Raw genomic sequence first — 15797 nt, forward strand, 5'->3', positions numbered from 1 at the left:
AGACAAACTAAGCAGATGAACTTTAAAAACTACTAAATCAAAACAAATATTTCCTTTGTAAATATTCCCTTTTTTTAAGCGGAAGACAACTGACCTTAGTCGTAAGTTACCACAAAGTGTCAACACAGCAAACCAAGGAGGAAACATTTGGTACCTCAGTTGGTACAAGACTCAGTCTTGAGGACGGAGCGGGAGAGAAGTGATAATAGTGTGATGCCAAGCTTCAATTATACCATATGGAACTTTAATAGTTTTATCACATAACATACATTTGTATAACCACCATACAGATTAAGAAAGAGAACATTACCAGCATACCAGAAGCCTCCATATATCCTCTACCCAGTCGTTACACCTTTCTTCTTCCACAATGGTAACTACTATCCTGACTTATGGGGTAGTAATTTCCTTGCTTTCAACTTGGAGTCATAAACACTATAGTTTTTTTTTTGTTTTTTTTTTTTTGAGACAGAGTCTGCTCGGTCACCCAAGCTGAAGTTCAGTGGTGCAAACTTGGCTCACTGCAACCTTTGCCTCCTGGGTTCAAGTGATTCACCTGCCTCAGCCTCCTGAGTAGCTGGGATTACACGTGTGTGCCACCATGACCAGCTAATTTTTTATATTTTTAGTAGAGATGGGATTTCGCTATGTTGGCCAGGCTGGTCTCAAACTCCTGGCCTCAAGTGATCTGCCTGCCTCGGCCTCCCAAATGCTGGGATTACAGATGTGAACCACCTTACCCAGCCTACAGTTTAGAGTTTTTAAAAAACTTAATATAAATGGAATCATGTAGTATGTATTATTTCATATCTGGCATTTTTGTGTAGCATTATATGAAATTTATCAATGTTGTATGTAACTGTAGTTGGTTCATTTTCATTGTTATACAGTATTTCATTGTGTGATTATACTATGGTTTAGTTATACATTTCAACTACTGGGCATCTGGTTGCTTCCAGTTCTCCCACATATTTTCATCTATGCTATATTGGCCTTGATAAAAAAAGGATTTTTTTTTTTTTTTTTGAGACAGGGTCTTGTTCTGTCACCCAGGCTGGAGTGCAGTATAATGATCATGCTCACTGCACCCTCAACCTCTGGGCTCAAGTGATCCTCCCACCTCAGCCCCCTGACTAGCTCTGACTATAGGCACATGCCATGCCTGGCTAATTTTTAAACTTTTTTGTAGATACAGGGTCTCGCTTTGTTCCCCAGGCTGGTCTCAAACTGCTGGCTTTAAGTGATCTTCCCGCCTCTGCCTCCCAAAGTGCTGGGATTATAGGAGTAAGCCACTGTGCCCAGCCACAAAAAGTAATTTTTCCCCCTTTGTAAAGTTCCCATTTTGTCAAGGGTCAAAGAGAACAACTGATGTCCTTCCAAGTTTGGCAGCAGTGGCTGAAGGCTGTCCGTATTTTTAATTAAATTTTATTTGTTCAAAGTAGCTGGGGGAGTGCTTCACTGCCCACACTTCTTTCAAGGGTTCTTCTAAAGGTGCCTGCTGCTGTTCCTGCTGCTGGCAGGCAGAACAACCCATTACATAGGCCAGGATGCCTTGGATGAGAGCGGGAGTGGGGAAAGAAGCTTGTTTCAGGTGTGTTTTCTAGTCAGAATATGACTAAAAACAGGCTCCTCTCCTCTGCATGGGGGTTATTTTTTGAGACGAAGTCTGGCTCTGTCACCCAGGCTAGAGTGCACTGGCATGATCTCGGCTCACTGCAACTTCTGCCTCCTGGGTTCAAGCGATTCTCTTGCCTCAGCCTCCCAAGTAGCTAGGATTACAGGCACATGCCACCACACCTGGCTAATTTTTGTATTTTTAGTAGAGACGGGGTTTTGCCATGTTGGCGGGGCTGGTCTCGAACTCCTGACCTCAGGTGATCCACTCGCCTTGTGCCTCCCAAAGTGCTAGGACCATAGGCATGGGCCACCATGCCCGGCCAGTTTTATCTCTTAACATGCCACTCTCTTTGCTTAGAAAGTTCCTCCCCCACTTTCTCCTTATCCTTTGGATTTTGGCTTAGCAGTTGCATTTTTTGGGATGCCTTCTCTGATCCTGCAAGAAAGGATTTGAAGACCCTCTTAAGTACTCTCATAGCATTCTATGCTTATTCCAATTAAACTATTTTAAGTGCATCGTTAATAGGCTGTTTGCACTCTTATCTCCATTCAAGGGAGTAGACTATGTCTTATTTTACACTATATCATCAGAAGTTAGTACAGTGCTTGGCATAATCACTCATGCAGCAAATATTCACTGAGCCTCCACTTGCTCAGGCACTATTTAGAACACTAAGAATATATCAGTGAATGCAACTGACAAAGATTTCACTGTTCTTGTGGAGCTTACATTCACTTTAGTGGAGAAGACACAAAATCAACATAACAAAAAAGTACATTATATACAATATGTTAAAAGCTTTATGTAAAAAAAGAGGAAAGAGTGGAGCAGGTTAACAAGGACTGAGAATGCTATGGTAGGGGTATCTAGCAAGTTGTAGTAAAGAATAGTTAGAATATGCTTCATTGAGAAGATGAAACTGGAGCTAAGATTTGAAACAGGTGACGAATTTAGTCATGGGATGTTTGGGGACAGAGTGTTCAGGCAGAGTAAACAGCCAGAATGAAGATCACAATGCATGTATAACCCTGCTATGGAGGGGCTGGCATGGCAGAATGAAGTAGAGAAAGGAGAAGAGTAGGAAATAATATCAGAAAGGTAACAAGGTGGAGGACACATCATGTAGGGCCTAGTAAGGTCATTTTAAGAACTATGAGTGGGGCCAGGTGGAGCACTCTGGGAGGCTGAGGTGGGGGGATTGCTTGAGGCCAGGAGTTCAAGACCGGCCTGGACAATATAGTGAGAGTCTGTCAGCACAAAAAATAAATTAGCTAGGCCTGGTGATGCATACTTATAGTGCTAGCTACTTGGGAGGCTGAGGTGAGAGGTTCTCTTGAGCCCAGGAGTTCAAGGTTACAATCAGCTATGATCTCACCACTGTACTCTAGTCTGGGCAACAGAGTGAGACCCTGCCTCTTCAAAAAAAAAAAAAAAAAAAAAAAAGAAGAAGAACCGAAATTCAAGAGTAACATGTTCTCATATACTTTAAAAGGATCCAGGTCAGTCTGGTAGCAGTAAAGAAAAAAGTGGGCATACTTTAGATCTACTTTAGAGGTGGAGTCAATAGTATATGCTGATGGACTATACATTGAGTATGAGTGAGAGGAATCAAGGATGACTCTAGGGGTTTTGCCCTGAGCCACTGTTAAGAATGAGAATTGTCTTCAATGGAGAGAGCATGATGCTGTGGGGAGAGTAGGTCTGGCAAGGGGAGTGGGAAAGGATCAACAGTTCAGTTCTGCACATTCTAGGTTTAAGCTGTTTATCAGACATCCACATGGATGTGTCAATTAGGCACGTGGATATATAGAGACTGTGAGAAGTCTGGGCTGGAGATATAAATCTGGGAATCCTCAGCATTATAGGTAGTATTTAAAACCAAAGGAACTGATGAGAGCACTAGGGAGTCAATGTAGATAGAGAAAGCAAAAAGAACGAAGAATTGAGTCCTAGAAGAAGAGGGAGAAATTTTGTAAAAGAAATTAAGAAGGAATAACTAGTAATGTAGAAGGAAAACCAAGGAAGAGTGGGGTTCAAAAAGCAGAGTAAAAAAATTTATCAAAGGAAACGATCAGTTGTGCCAAAAGCTGATCTATCAAGTAAAATGAGAGCTAAGTAGTAGTTAACACAGTAGAAGTCATTGGTGGTTTTGATGGGAACAGTTTTGCTATGTGTAGGGGTGAGGGGGAGAAGGCCTGACTATACGGAAATTAAGAGAGAATGGAAGAATGAGGCTGGACGCTGTGGCTCACACCTGTAATCCCAGCAATTTGGGAGGCCAAGGCAGGCAGATCACCTGAGGTCAGGGGTTTGAGACCAGCCTGGCCAATATGGTGAAACTCCGTCTCTACTAAAAATACAAAATTTAGCCAGGCGTCGTGGCAGGTGTCAGTAATCCCAGCTACCTGGGCAGGCTGAGGCATGAGAATCGCTTGAACCCAGGAGGCGGAGGTTGCAGTAAGCCGAGATCATGGCACTGCACTCCAGCCTGGGCAACAGAGCTAGACTCCGTCTCAAAAACAAACAACAACAACAACAACAAAAGAATGGAAGAATGAGAGGAATAACTGCGGACAGCAAGAGAGTAGTTTTGCTGCAAAAGGGGACAGAGAAATATGGCAGTAGCTGGCAGGAGCAGTGAGATTTATAAATTATTTTTTAAGGATGAGGGAACTAATGTTTATATACTGAGAGGAATAATACAGGAAGAGAGCGAAAAATGTTACTCCAGGACACAAAAGAGAACTGTCAAACTGACATTATGAAGTAGGCAAAAGGGGACAGGATCTAGTGCATGAGTAGAAACACTGGCTTTAAATAAGAATATTAGTACTTAACTAGGATCTTGATACATATTTGCTGAAAGAACAAAATCTTTGGCTACTAAAACAACAGAAAGTGGCAAGTATAAACAGTAAATACTAACTTTGCTGTAACAGATGATATAGGAATTCGGAAGTACATCTGTTAGATAACTTTTCCTATTTCTTTTGCCCTTATTCCTTTGCCACAAACTACTCTTCAATATTAACTTTAGCTCTCCTCTTTGACCAATAAAAAATATCCAAGTTTATTTCTCTTCAAATATGGATCAAAAGATAAAAGCTCTAGGTTAAGGGAAGAGAATATAGAACCAACTTACCATTTTCATCTACTGCAAGCACACTTGCTCCTTTTCCCAAAAGTTCCTGAACCACCATTGTTAGCCCATTTCGGGCAGCAACATGCAGAGGTCTAGGGGAAAAAACATGATACATGTACACATATGTGCATGTGCATGCACATACACATACACACCTGGCTGTCAAAGAGCATTTTTGTCAACTTGTGAAGACCAAGAGGTACAAACTCGAGAAACCTAGTCCTAATAACAAAGATGGGGGCAGGGAGAGCAGAACCTCTGTGCAGTGCACTGTCACACCTTGTCAACGTGTAGCTCGGCATCAAGCTCAGCCATAGGTCCCATCGACAGGTCCCTACCTTCACCCAATCCTTTTGTTACTTTTCTTTTCAATGTTTAAAAACATTTTACCATTGAAATTGCATTCCTCCGTTGTTAAGGAATGAGGCTGGTAAAGATACAGACTATACATTAAAAACTGTAAACTGCAGTAGCATAAATTCTAATAGGCTTTGAAAACAGCTTACAAGCATCATGACTAATTTTTGGACCTTCAAGGGATCTGACTAATCCCAGAACGGGCAACAATATTCTAAGATTTTTATCTTTACTAAACCTCAAAATGGAATAGCAAGGGACAATGAGAGACACTGATGTAAGATCTCTGTCAGTCTATCTGGAGGTTGGCTGCTCACATTATTAAAAATTTTGATTCTTTAAGAAACCTTATTGGCTTACAGACACACATAAAGCTTCTTACCTCATTTATTGTTAGTTTCAAGTAACATATTATTACAGTTGATTTCCACAGAATACACAAAATAGTACTACTTTCCTTCAGAAAATTAGGTAGGTGGATTAAGGAAAAAAATACATTATTGTCAATGTTATAATAAAATTTCAGTTCAAAAGCATTTTAAATAATATGGCTTTTAGTTGTGATCATTTTAGAAATGAGTTTTGACAGTTGTAAAACTATTAAAATTGCTTCTATGACTAATGAAACCTATTCCAATAGTCACATGTTTAAAAAAATCCATTTATCATTTTTATAATTATAGGTCACAAAGTTTATACTAGATACTGACAGTACTCACGTTTGCAAGGCTGCGTTGGTTGCATTGATGAGGTTTCTATCTGTTATCTTTTCCAGTATTAACAAGGCACTAGTTTCATGACCCTATAATTGTGGCAGATAAGTTATAAAAACTTGAGCACCATTAAAGATACATTTATACACCCAACAATCTGCAATCCTAGTCCATATATTATGTACAACACCATACATATACCATGAATTTTCCTGGCTAATATCTTAATATTTGCCCAAACACATCTTGGGAGTGAGGGTAGGAGAAGAGGACAAAATTAAGATTAAGGAAAGAGGATAATTATGCTTAGACTTGTGTTCCAAAACTTATTTGGCTTACTGGAGACTTTGATACGCCATGGTGCCTTATAAGTCAATTTTGTTCAAGAAATCTAATACCAGTGATCATTAGAGAGGTTTGGTCCTGAGTTGTTCATTTTAGTGAAGTCAAAAAACTTTTAAGGTCACTGTTAATATTAACAATGGAAACATATTCTTAAGATGTATACATACCTTGCTACAAGCCAAATGGAGGGCAGTATTTTTACTGTTATCTTGTAAAGTCAGTTCTGCACTAGCACTGCTAACCAGCATCTCTGGGAGGAAAAAGTGCATCAATTCTTATGTTTATGAACATGTTTCTTAGATTACCAATAACTCACTGTAGAGAAATGAAGATACAAAGCAAAAAAGTCCCTCTCACAAAAACTTAAGTACAAGAAAAATATTGTAATATATAACATATATATCTTCATATAATTGTATGAGACAATTATATTGTTGTATAAGTCACACACTCTAACAATGGCAATTAACATTTATTTTGTGACTGTGCACTAAATTTTAAATACTGTTTTATATGCTCTGGATTTAAAGTAATTTATTTAACCCTCACAACAACACACCAAGTAGATACTGTTATTTTTCTCATTTTATAAATGAGAAAACTGAGGCATAAGGTCATTTAGCTGAAAGATCTAGGACTCACATTCAGGCAATCCAACTCCACAGCCAGTGTTCTTAACCACTATGTTATAAGGCCATGGTAAAGTAGACTCCTCAATAGTCAGGGCAAACTAAAACATTGTATCCCTAAATGAAAATGTGGATTGCAAACAGGTAAAAGGTTTTAAGTCTTAGGAGTGGTAAGATAACTAGTTGAAGTCAGAAGTCTTGGGATCTAAGTTATACATAAGTGATACACATACTTAGGAAAATACAATTTTAAAGAAGTTTCTTTACCAACTGTATTTGTTTGTCCATTTTCTGCAGCCATCATAAGAGGTGTTTTCCCTGTAGAGTCCACAGAATTGACTTGAGCATTATGGCTGAGCAGCAGCTGTAAACACTCTACATGGTCTGTGAAGGCGGCTGCATGGAGAGGAGTTCTGTGATAAAGAAAAATTGAAATATATGACTAAATTTGAATGTTATATATGCTGGAAAAATATTCTTTAATTTGTGACATGCTGTTTTTAAGGGTTTACATATTAGGCTACAAAAGCACTGCCTGTACACAAACAAATAGGCTCAATGGAGCTTACTAATTTCTCTCATAGAAATTTGTACTTTCAATAATACAGAAGGCTTTAATTAAACTAGAACTAGTATGAAGTAAAGATTAATTACAAAATTGCTAAAATAACATTACATCATTAAAGGAAATTTTGAAAGAAATAAATCCTAATCTGAATACCACCACTTATTACAACTGCTGGACTTTTTTCCAGGCTTTATTCCCATTTAGAAAACTGTTAACTTTGTTAACAATAATCTTTGGGAAACAAATTCGAAAGAGAGGGAAAAATATTTACATGTTAAAATAGTTTAAAGGAGGAAAACTTCCTAAAATCTATAAATAGAAAAACCTTTTATAATGTAAAAATAATTGAGATCTTATAACAATTTATACTCGCAAATATAAAAATCAACTTTTAATAATGGGTTTTCTGTAAATTCTCTCACACCAGCCAGTAGTTAAAATTTATTTCTTATTGAAAATAAAACCTTTTTGGGGGGTAGGGCCCAGACGGGATCTCACTCTGTCACCCAGGCTGGAATGCAGTGGTGCAATCATAGCTCACTGTTGCCTCAAACTCCTGGGCTCAAGTGATCCTCCTGCCTCAGCCTCCTGAACAGCTGGGATCACAGGCATGCATCATCATGCACTTTTTTTTTTTTTGGTAGAGATGCAGGTCTTGCTATGTTGACCAGGCTGGTCTTAAACTCCTGGCTTCAAGTCATCCTCCCACTTCAGCCTCCCAGATTGTTAGGATTATAGGCATGAGCCACTGTGCCTGGCTAAAACTATTTAATACATAGTTGAATTCCTACCTTCCTTTTGAATCTGTGGCGTTCACAATGCTGGCACCTAATGTATCAATTAACATCTCAGCAGCACCTTCGTTGTCATTTATCCTGTGTAAGGTAACAAGGTGATCATTCTCACAGCAATGGTGTATTTCTTAAAACACTCAAACCAAATCTGATTCATTCTGGCTTTACTTACACGGCACAATGCAATGGACTAAAAGCATTTCCTTCCGTTTTCTGGAAAACTTCCTGTTCTAAAAGCAGTTCTACACATGTCTCGTGACCTAAATAGGTGTAAAGAACCAGGTATTAAAATTCAAAGGAGATACTGGCAAAAATCACAGGTACATGTAAGTGTTTAAAGGAAAAATGTAAAAGTCTCTCCCTCATCCCATCTCCCAGATCCCCTCTCTGGAATATAACCATTGGTAGCTGTTAAGCCACCAGTAGTTCCTGAAAATTTCTAGGCATATACAACTGCACGCACAAAATACATACAGTTGGCTCTCTGTATCCGTGGGTTCTGCATCCATCAATTCAACCAACCCCAAATTAAAAATATTTGGGGGAAAAAAAAAACAGAGCAGACTTTTTTTCTTGTCATATACCCTAAATACAGCATACCAATTATTTACATAACATTTACATTACATTGGTTATTATAAGTAATCCAGAGATGATTTAAAGTATAGCAGAGAATGTGCATAGGTTATATGCAAATACTATCCCATTTTCTATAAGGGACTTGAGCGCCTGTTGGTTTTGGTATTCACAAGGGGTCCTGGAAACCAATCCTCAACAGCAAACGAGAAATGACTGTGCTATTTTTTTATTTTTTTCTTAATGGCAATGGGATGTTTAATTCCGCAACTTGCCTTTTACTTAATATTAACTACACATATCCTTCCATAATAGCATATATGAAATATTATTATTATTATTTTAGATGGAGTCTCACTCTGTTGCCCAGCCTGGAGTGCAGTGGCGCGATCTTGGCTCACTGCAACCTCTGCCTCCTGGGTTCAAGTGATTCTCCTGTCTCAGCCTCCCAAGTAGCTGGACTACAGGCGCCCACCACCATGCCCAGCTAGCTTTTTTCGTATTTTTAGTAGACACGGGGTTTCACCATGTTGGTCAGGCTGATCTCAAACTCCTGATCTCAGGTGATCCACCTGCCTCAGTCTCCCAAAGTGCTGGGATTACAGGTGTGAGCCACCATGCCCGGCTAAAATCTTATTCTTTAATGTTCTGAAGAGCTTCACAGTATCAAAGTATATCATAAATTATTTAATCTAATTATGGATTTTAAAGTGATTGCTAGTTTAAAAAAATTCTTCATGATATTATCAACAACGCTGTAATGAAACATTCTGGTATTTTTTTATTTTATTAAAACAATTTTTTGAGACAGGGTCTTGCTCTGTTGCCCAAGTTGAAGTGCAGTGGCATGATCATGACTCTCTGCAGTCTCAACCTCCTGGGCTCAAGTGATCCTCCCACCTCAGCCTCCTGAGTTGCTAAGACAACAGGTGCAAGGCTACCACACCTGGCTAATTTTTTGATATTTTGTAGAGATGAAGTTTTGCCATGTTGCTCAGGCTGGTCTTGAATCCCAGAGCTCAAGTGATCTGCCTGCCTCAGCCTCCTAAAATGCTGGGATTACAGGCATAAGCCACCACGGCCAACATTTTGTTTTTATTTTAGGAAGTATTTTTGTAGGACAATTTCCTACCAAAGTGATATTGCTGTGGTAAAGGAGAAGTATCCAGCCTTGGTATTCTTGGGGGATTGGGTCCAGGACTCCCCACTGACAGCAAAACTCCATAGTCCCTTATACAGGTCCCTTGTACAAAATGGTTTATTTGTGTATAACCTATGCACATCTTCTCATATACTTTAAGTCATCTCTAGATTACTTACAACTTAATTCAATGTAAATGCTATATAAATAGTTGTTGTATTGTTTAGGGAATAATGACAAAAAAAAAGTCTGTACATGTTCAGCCTAACTATATTTCTGATGGACATTCAGTTGAATTCACCGATGGGGGACCCATGGATATGGAGGGCTGACTGTATTGACTGTTCATCAATATCTGGTCCATAGTTTTTAACAGTAACTTCAAAAACAGAAAAATCCAAATTTCAAATTTTCTTACCCTAATTCCAGAGCCAGGGTTTTAATTTAATACCCTAATTACTACAAATAAAATGTTGCTTATTTTATTTCATTAGTCATTTGGGATCTACTTTAGGAATAAGATTCTTACATGGCCTCTTTATACATTTTCATGGTTTAATATTTGCCTACCAAAGTGATGTTATATTTTCTTTTCTTTTTAAATTACTCAAACTTAATCAGCTTAAACTTTACCCTATAATTGTGGAAAAGTAATTTTTAGAAAAACCTGTAATTGTGTTCCATCTTTTGTCAGTTCTTTTCTCTAATCTAGTAGTTTTCAAGTGGATTTTGCCCATCAGCAGATATTGTATGTGGCAATGCCTACAGACATTTTTGTTTATCACAACTGAAGGTGGGGCAGTGCAACTGGCATCTAGTGGGTAGAAACCAATGATGCTGCTAAACATCTTGCAATGCACTGGAGAGTCCCTTGCAACAATCATCTGGCCCAAAACGTCATAGTGCTGAGGTTGAGAAACTCCTTTAATGCCATCGTTCTGAATGTTAACTCATTACTAAGATACAGCAATGGAAAGTTGTCCATTGTTGACTTAAGAGCCCCTCATTCTCCAGGTATATGGGTTCTTAAGGTGTGGCCTAGGGAACCCTGGGGTGACGCAAAAAAAATATGAATAAAAACACAGATGAGAACCCAACTATTCTCTTAAATTAGCTATGAAGAGATGTACTACTCTTCTCACTAAAAAGAAAATACTTTTGGAAAATAGTTTTCATAAAAAAAGATTATTTATGTTAACATGTAATAGACATTATTTTTAAATAAATCAGTAAGTATTTAAAAATTTCTCAATTACAATTTCTAATACAGTCAGTATCAATCCATAGTTCCTGAGACCAAAGGGTTTGAGAACCACTCACCATCTGAGTACAGACTGAGAAAAGGGAACAGTGGGGCCCCTTTGTGACCTCCAGAAATCATTACTGGGTGATATCAAGCAGACAATCTCATAACTTTCTATCATCATTTATGAAAGATAGATAGGATGGTAAACTGGGTCCTCCTGAGTTTCAGAGGCTAGTCTGAGGATGTTTAGAGCTTCATAAAAATGAACACATTTTTTAAAGGAATAATAAGTATTCTTAAGTTCTGTGATTGAATGACTATATAAACTGAAATTGTGAACTTTTAGTATCTACAGCCAGTGTTTTTCTAAAACTTGGCCATCATTTCATTTTAATTTTAAGAGGTTGTTTTCTGTTCTGTTGGCATGCTTCCACTTTTCTTTCCAGCTGTACAATAATTACTAGTTAAAGTAAAAACCATTTTACATATTCTACTTTCAGAATGCCAAATTATAAAACGGGCTTTTGGCTATAAATATGGTATTAATTTTAGGCTGTCTATATAGTCGCTTATTGCATATAGCCAACACACATTAAATTCCTTCCAGCTCAAATTCAGCATCACCACAATTTTGCTACAGGCTGAAAATCAGACACATTTGTTATGATCTTTAAATGGCAACCAGGCATGCAGTTCTTGCAAAATTCTGTCTCTTGCACAAAACGTGCTTAGAGTCTAAATTTAGCAGTGATAGAGTAGGAACTCACTTTAGGGAAAATGTTCTACATATAGATCTGATAACAAACACTGTAATAGAAAGCAACTCTCCAAAGGACAGTTACAGCAGTACATTTACAACTAAATGCTCTTCCTGAGGAAAAATATCTCACTGTGTGATTTTTCCAATGGTTAATCTTCAGGGATATATTTTTTTAAAAACCAAGCAGTAAGTCTTTGCTTCTGAACAGTTTTATCTCACTGACTTTTTTACAGAAACACAACTCACAATTGTAGATATTTTCCCACTATATTAGATATTTTGGGTTTTCCTTATACTTGTAAAATGTCAAGTCACATTACAGAAACAAATCAAACATCAATGGCAAAATACAGTATCTTCTTTGTTCTAGTATGAGTACTAGTCTCTGGCCACTTCACTACACTCATTTCTACTTGCCTTAGCGAGTAGAAATGGGAAAAAGAGAAGTTAAACCCCAAAGGTTTTATAGTTTTCAAAACTGTTTTGGTTAAGGATTTAAGGTAGTAAAAAACAAAGAGACTAAACTAGCTTGTTCAATGAGCAACAGATTTAACTATTCAAGTTTTTATGGTGCTATCAGTACTCAGCTGAAGGATAACCAACAGTATAACAGGACAAACCTCAAGAACCCAAAATGTTCTAACGGCAAAAGAATACAACTCCCAACTTTGGCATAAGGACTAATATGAAAATCAAAATATTGTATCTCAGAAATACTTGTGGAAACATTTAATGAAGTTATAATTTTACAAGATTCAGCTTTTTCCTCTTTTGCTTTAACTTGATAACTTTGTCAGAACAGCTCCCAGTGAAAGAACTATGAAACAGCATATTATAGAAAGATAGGAAATCTCAACTTCCTGGTAAGGCAGTCTGATTTTACAACAGATATTATACTTATTTATTTTTAGCAAATGGGTATTTATATAAAGAGACAACTTATATTTTCTCTGCATTTTGAGGGAAGGTTATTAGAATTGTGAACTACAGCTTTGTAGATCTGCTGTCATAATTAACATTAATCTTGAAGCTACACTGAAATTGAAAACAAATTTTAAAAACCTCTAATTTCTCTACTAAAGCCTGAAGCTTGAACTTTGACAACACTGATGCTTGCACTGTATATAATGTACTTGAGTTTTCTAAGATGATCAAATCTAAAAATATCTCAACATGCTTCATTGCATAAATTATTTTAATTAGTGGCATTTCATAAGCCAAACTGCATTTTTAACATCTATAACTTCAAAGTAGCTTTATGCTTCCCTACGTGACCTTTTATGAGTCTACCTATAAAAGCGATGACTGTGACTGTGAGCCTGTAGGAGGCCAAAGAAAATCTCTTTTAACCATGTAGCAGAGTTAACCCATCAAAGTTTCTAATTCTAAGACCTGCTAGGGATTTATTCCTTTAAAACATTGAACATGGATATTACTGGTAATATAAGAATGTTATCTTGCAATGTGCTCAGAAAACATACATAGATTTCAGTTTAGAATGTGATACATCTCACTGTTTCTCCTACTTTTGGTTATTTTTCCCCTAATATGATTGTATTTAGAAAGTAAAAGAACATGGCTGGGTGCAATGGCTCATGCCTGTAATCCTAGCACTTGGGGAGTCTGATGTGGGAGGATTGCTTAAGCCCAGTTGTTCAAGACCAGCCTGGGCAACATAGTGGGACTCTTAAAAAAAAAAAAATAGTAAAAGAACACAATCAAAATACAAGCACACTATATAAAAGCAATGGAAACATTCTAAAAACCTCCTAAAAATGCAAAATATTTGTGGAAATAAGGATCTAAGAAAAACTTCAGGCTACATGGTGGCTCATGCCTGTAATCCCAACACTTTGGGAGGCTGAGGTGGGAGGATCACTTGATGCCAGGAGTTCAAGACCAGCCTGGGCAACATAGCAAGATCCTACCAAAACTAAAAAAGAAAAGAAAAGAAAAGAAAAACCTCAAAAATACTTCATGGCTTATCTCAGAACACCTTTGACAACTAGTGTCTTGGCTTTAGCATGACAAAGGACAGGAGTGAGCCTACGTACTAAGTATTATTAGTACGTGAGCCTATACAGTAGATTATTCCCAAGGTTTTTGCTAATTTTAAACTTAAAATTTGCCTTATAAATATGTCATTCTTTTATCTCTGTTCACTACACAATGATATGCATTTGTGTTTGTATACTTAACCATTGTAGCAAGCCCAGTGAAGTGCCGTATATCCATGATTGTCTGCTGTGGCTGGATTTGCATCCATAGATGCTGCTGACTGCAAAAGGGCTCCAAGAACACCAATGTGTCCACAGGCAGCAGACAGGTGTATAGGCGTCCGGCCCCTGCTATCCCGAAGTAAGCACTTAGCACCATGTTGAAGTAATGCATCTACACATTCTTCATGGCCTGTAACTGCCTGAAAGAAAATAATTTAAAGGTAGTCAAACATATTATGCTAAACATTACATGCCAATTTCAGCTAATTAAAAACTTTAAAGACCATACTCTCCATATCCTTCCATCAATTAAAGCCATTTATCATTTTATGAGTAATTCTGTATTTTTATTGGAAGTGGTTTAAAAATTCAGTTAAAGCAAGAACCCTTCTAAAATGCAAATAGTATGAAAACAGGAAGAGAGAAACTTGGTATTCAATGAAAATAATGATATTTCAAAGGTGAAAAAAGATTAAAGTGTATAAGAAAATAAGTGAGATAATGGAAAAAGTCAAATTGACATTAATTCTACTAAAAGTTTTAGAGTTTTAAAATTTTGTTCTAACATTGTTCTCTAGATTAAGTTGTACTCTGTAATTGTTCAAAATTAGCATTTAAAAACTAAGATACTGAAAGAAATGGTAAAGACTATTTGACGAACATTTAATGAAGAAAAAATAAACATAACCTAGTTCAGTTCTAGGTAATATGAGGTCATAAAAGCTTTTTGAAAGGAAAGAGCATATTTCTGCTTACCCCTCTATGCAACGCTGTCCTTCCCCACTTATCTTTGGCATCTACATTTGCTCCTTTGTTCAGCAATGAGTAAACACAGTCTGTGTGCCCGTTGAGAACAGATAGCATCAGAGGCGTCCTGAGCAACAACAGGAATAGGTTCAGTGCTGTCACTTAAGACTGTACTCTGGTTTTCGAAATACGCCCTTCTGTGATGCAACAATTATTTATCGAAACTTACTGTCCATTTCCATCTTGAATATCCACTGCATTCTGTGGTTCTGCATTTCCTATTAATAGCCGTAAGCATTCTGAATGACCATTTGTTGCTGTAAAGTGAAATTTAAACATTTCAGTAATTACATATAATGATAAAATAGAAAATGTCCATCTAAAAGCACATCTTCTAGAATTTACTTTTGGGATAGTTGCACTGAATTTAATATGCAAGAATGAAAACTATAGGTAAAAAGAAGGTTTCTACGGCCTTTGACTGTTAAAGCTGGAATAAATGTGAATTCCTCACAGTAAAACATGACAGGCAGACCGCCTACCCAGCACCCATGCCCTATCATCTGCCTCTAAAAGAATGCTCATTTTATTTAGCTCTCTGGCAATGTGGTCAGGAAGAGTGCCTTGACTCCAGCAAAGGGATGATACCATGATTAGACCAAGTCAATCACAAGAACCCCATTCTCCTCTGACAGTGATCAGTTTTAAGGTGAGCAGCACAGGAACCAGGTCTGACTACTGAGATGCCGATAAGTCTAGAGGCTGCTGGGAAATACTTTTATCTTTAATAATGAAAAGCCCCCATTCCTTCCTGATTTTAGATGCAATCCTTAAAAGCAGCAGCAATAATCCCACAACATGAATGCAAATGTAAGAGAATAACAGAATTTAATCCAGAGCTCTGACACCGTTGTAGAATCAACCAACCCTGGAACTGCATCT

The 15797-nt window shown here is 37.5% G+C and overlaps 2 protein-coding genes across 39 annotated transcripts in view; one reads left to right on the top strand and one right to left on the bottom strand.

Moving 5' to 3' along the window:
* BTD (biotinidase) overlaps positions 1-15797 on the top strand; it is a 121156-nt gene that overhangs the window by 69777 nt on the left and 35582 nt on the right. Inside the window, exon 4 of one of the 5 annotated variants that reach the window (NM_001407401.1) lies at positions 473-1818. The exons of the other annotated variants lie outside the window; for them this stretch is intronic. Within the exon in view, the coding sequence (NP_001394330.1) occupies positions 473-496 (24 nt within the window). The 3' untranslated portion in view covers positions 497-1818. Of the gene's footprint in view, positions 1-472; positions 1819-15797 lie in introns of those variants that run through there. 5 annotated transcript variants of the gene reach the window in all.
* Positions 1-15797, bottom strand: part of ANKRD28 (ankyrin repeat domain 28) — a 192579-nt gene that overhangs the window by 3902 nt on the left and 172880 nt on the right. For 28 of the 34 annotated variants that reach the window (XR_007095653.1, NR_146111.1, NR_146112.2 and 25 more), the window contains 9 exons: positions 15085-15172; positions 14865-14982; positions 14089-14308; positions 8339-8426; positions 8164-8247; positions 7072-7217; positions 6343-6425; positions 5837-5919; positions 4761-4852 (listed from right to left, as the gene is read on the bottom strand). Coding sequence is in view for 30 of the 34 variants with exons in the window: in XM_047447807.1 (XP_047303763.1) it covers positions 4761-4852; positions 5837-5919; positions 6343-6425; positions 7072-7217; positions 8164-8247; positions 8339-8426; positions 14089-14308; positions 14865-14982; positions 15085-15172 (1002 nt within the window). In the remaining 4 variants the exon portion in view is untranslated. Of the gene's footprint in view, positions 1-222; positions 2054-4760; positions 4853-5832; positions 5920-6342; positions 6491-7071; positions 7218-8163; positions 8248-8338; positions 8427-14088; positions 14309-14864; positions 14983-15084; positions 15173-15797 lie in introns of those variants that run through there. The other 6 variants (XM_047447806.1, XM_047447808.1, XM_047447801.1 and 3 more) reach the window with 3 other exon arrangements.

This window comes from Homo sapiens, chromosome 3 (assembly GCF_000001405.40).
Source record: "Homo sapiens chromosome 3, GRCh38.p14 Primary Assembly".
Lineage (NCBI taxonomy): Eukaryota > Metazoa > Chordata > Mammalia > Primates > Hominidae > Homo > Homo sapiens.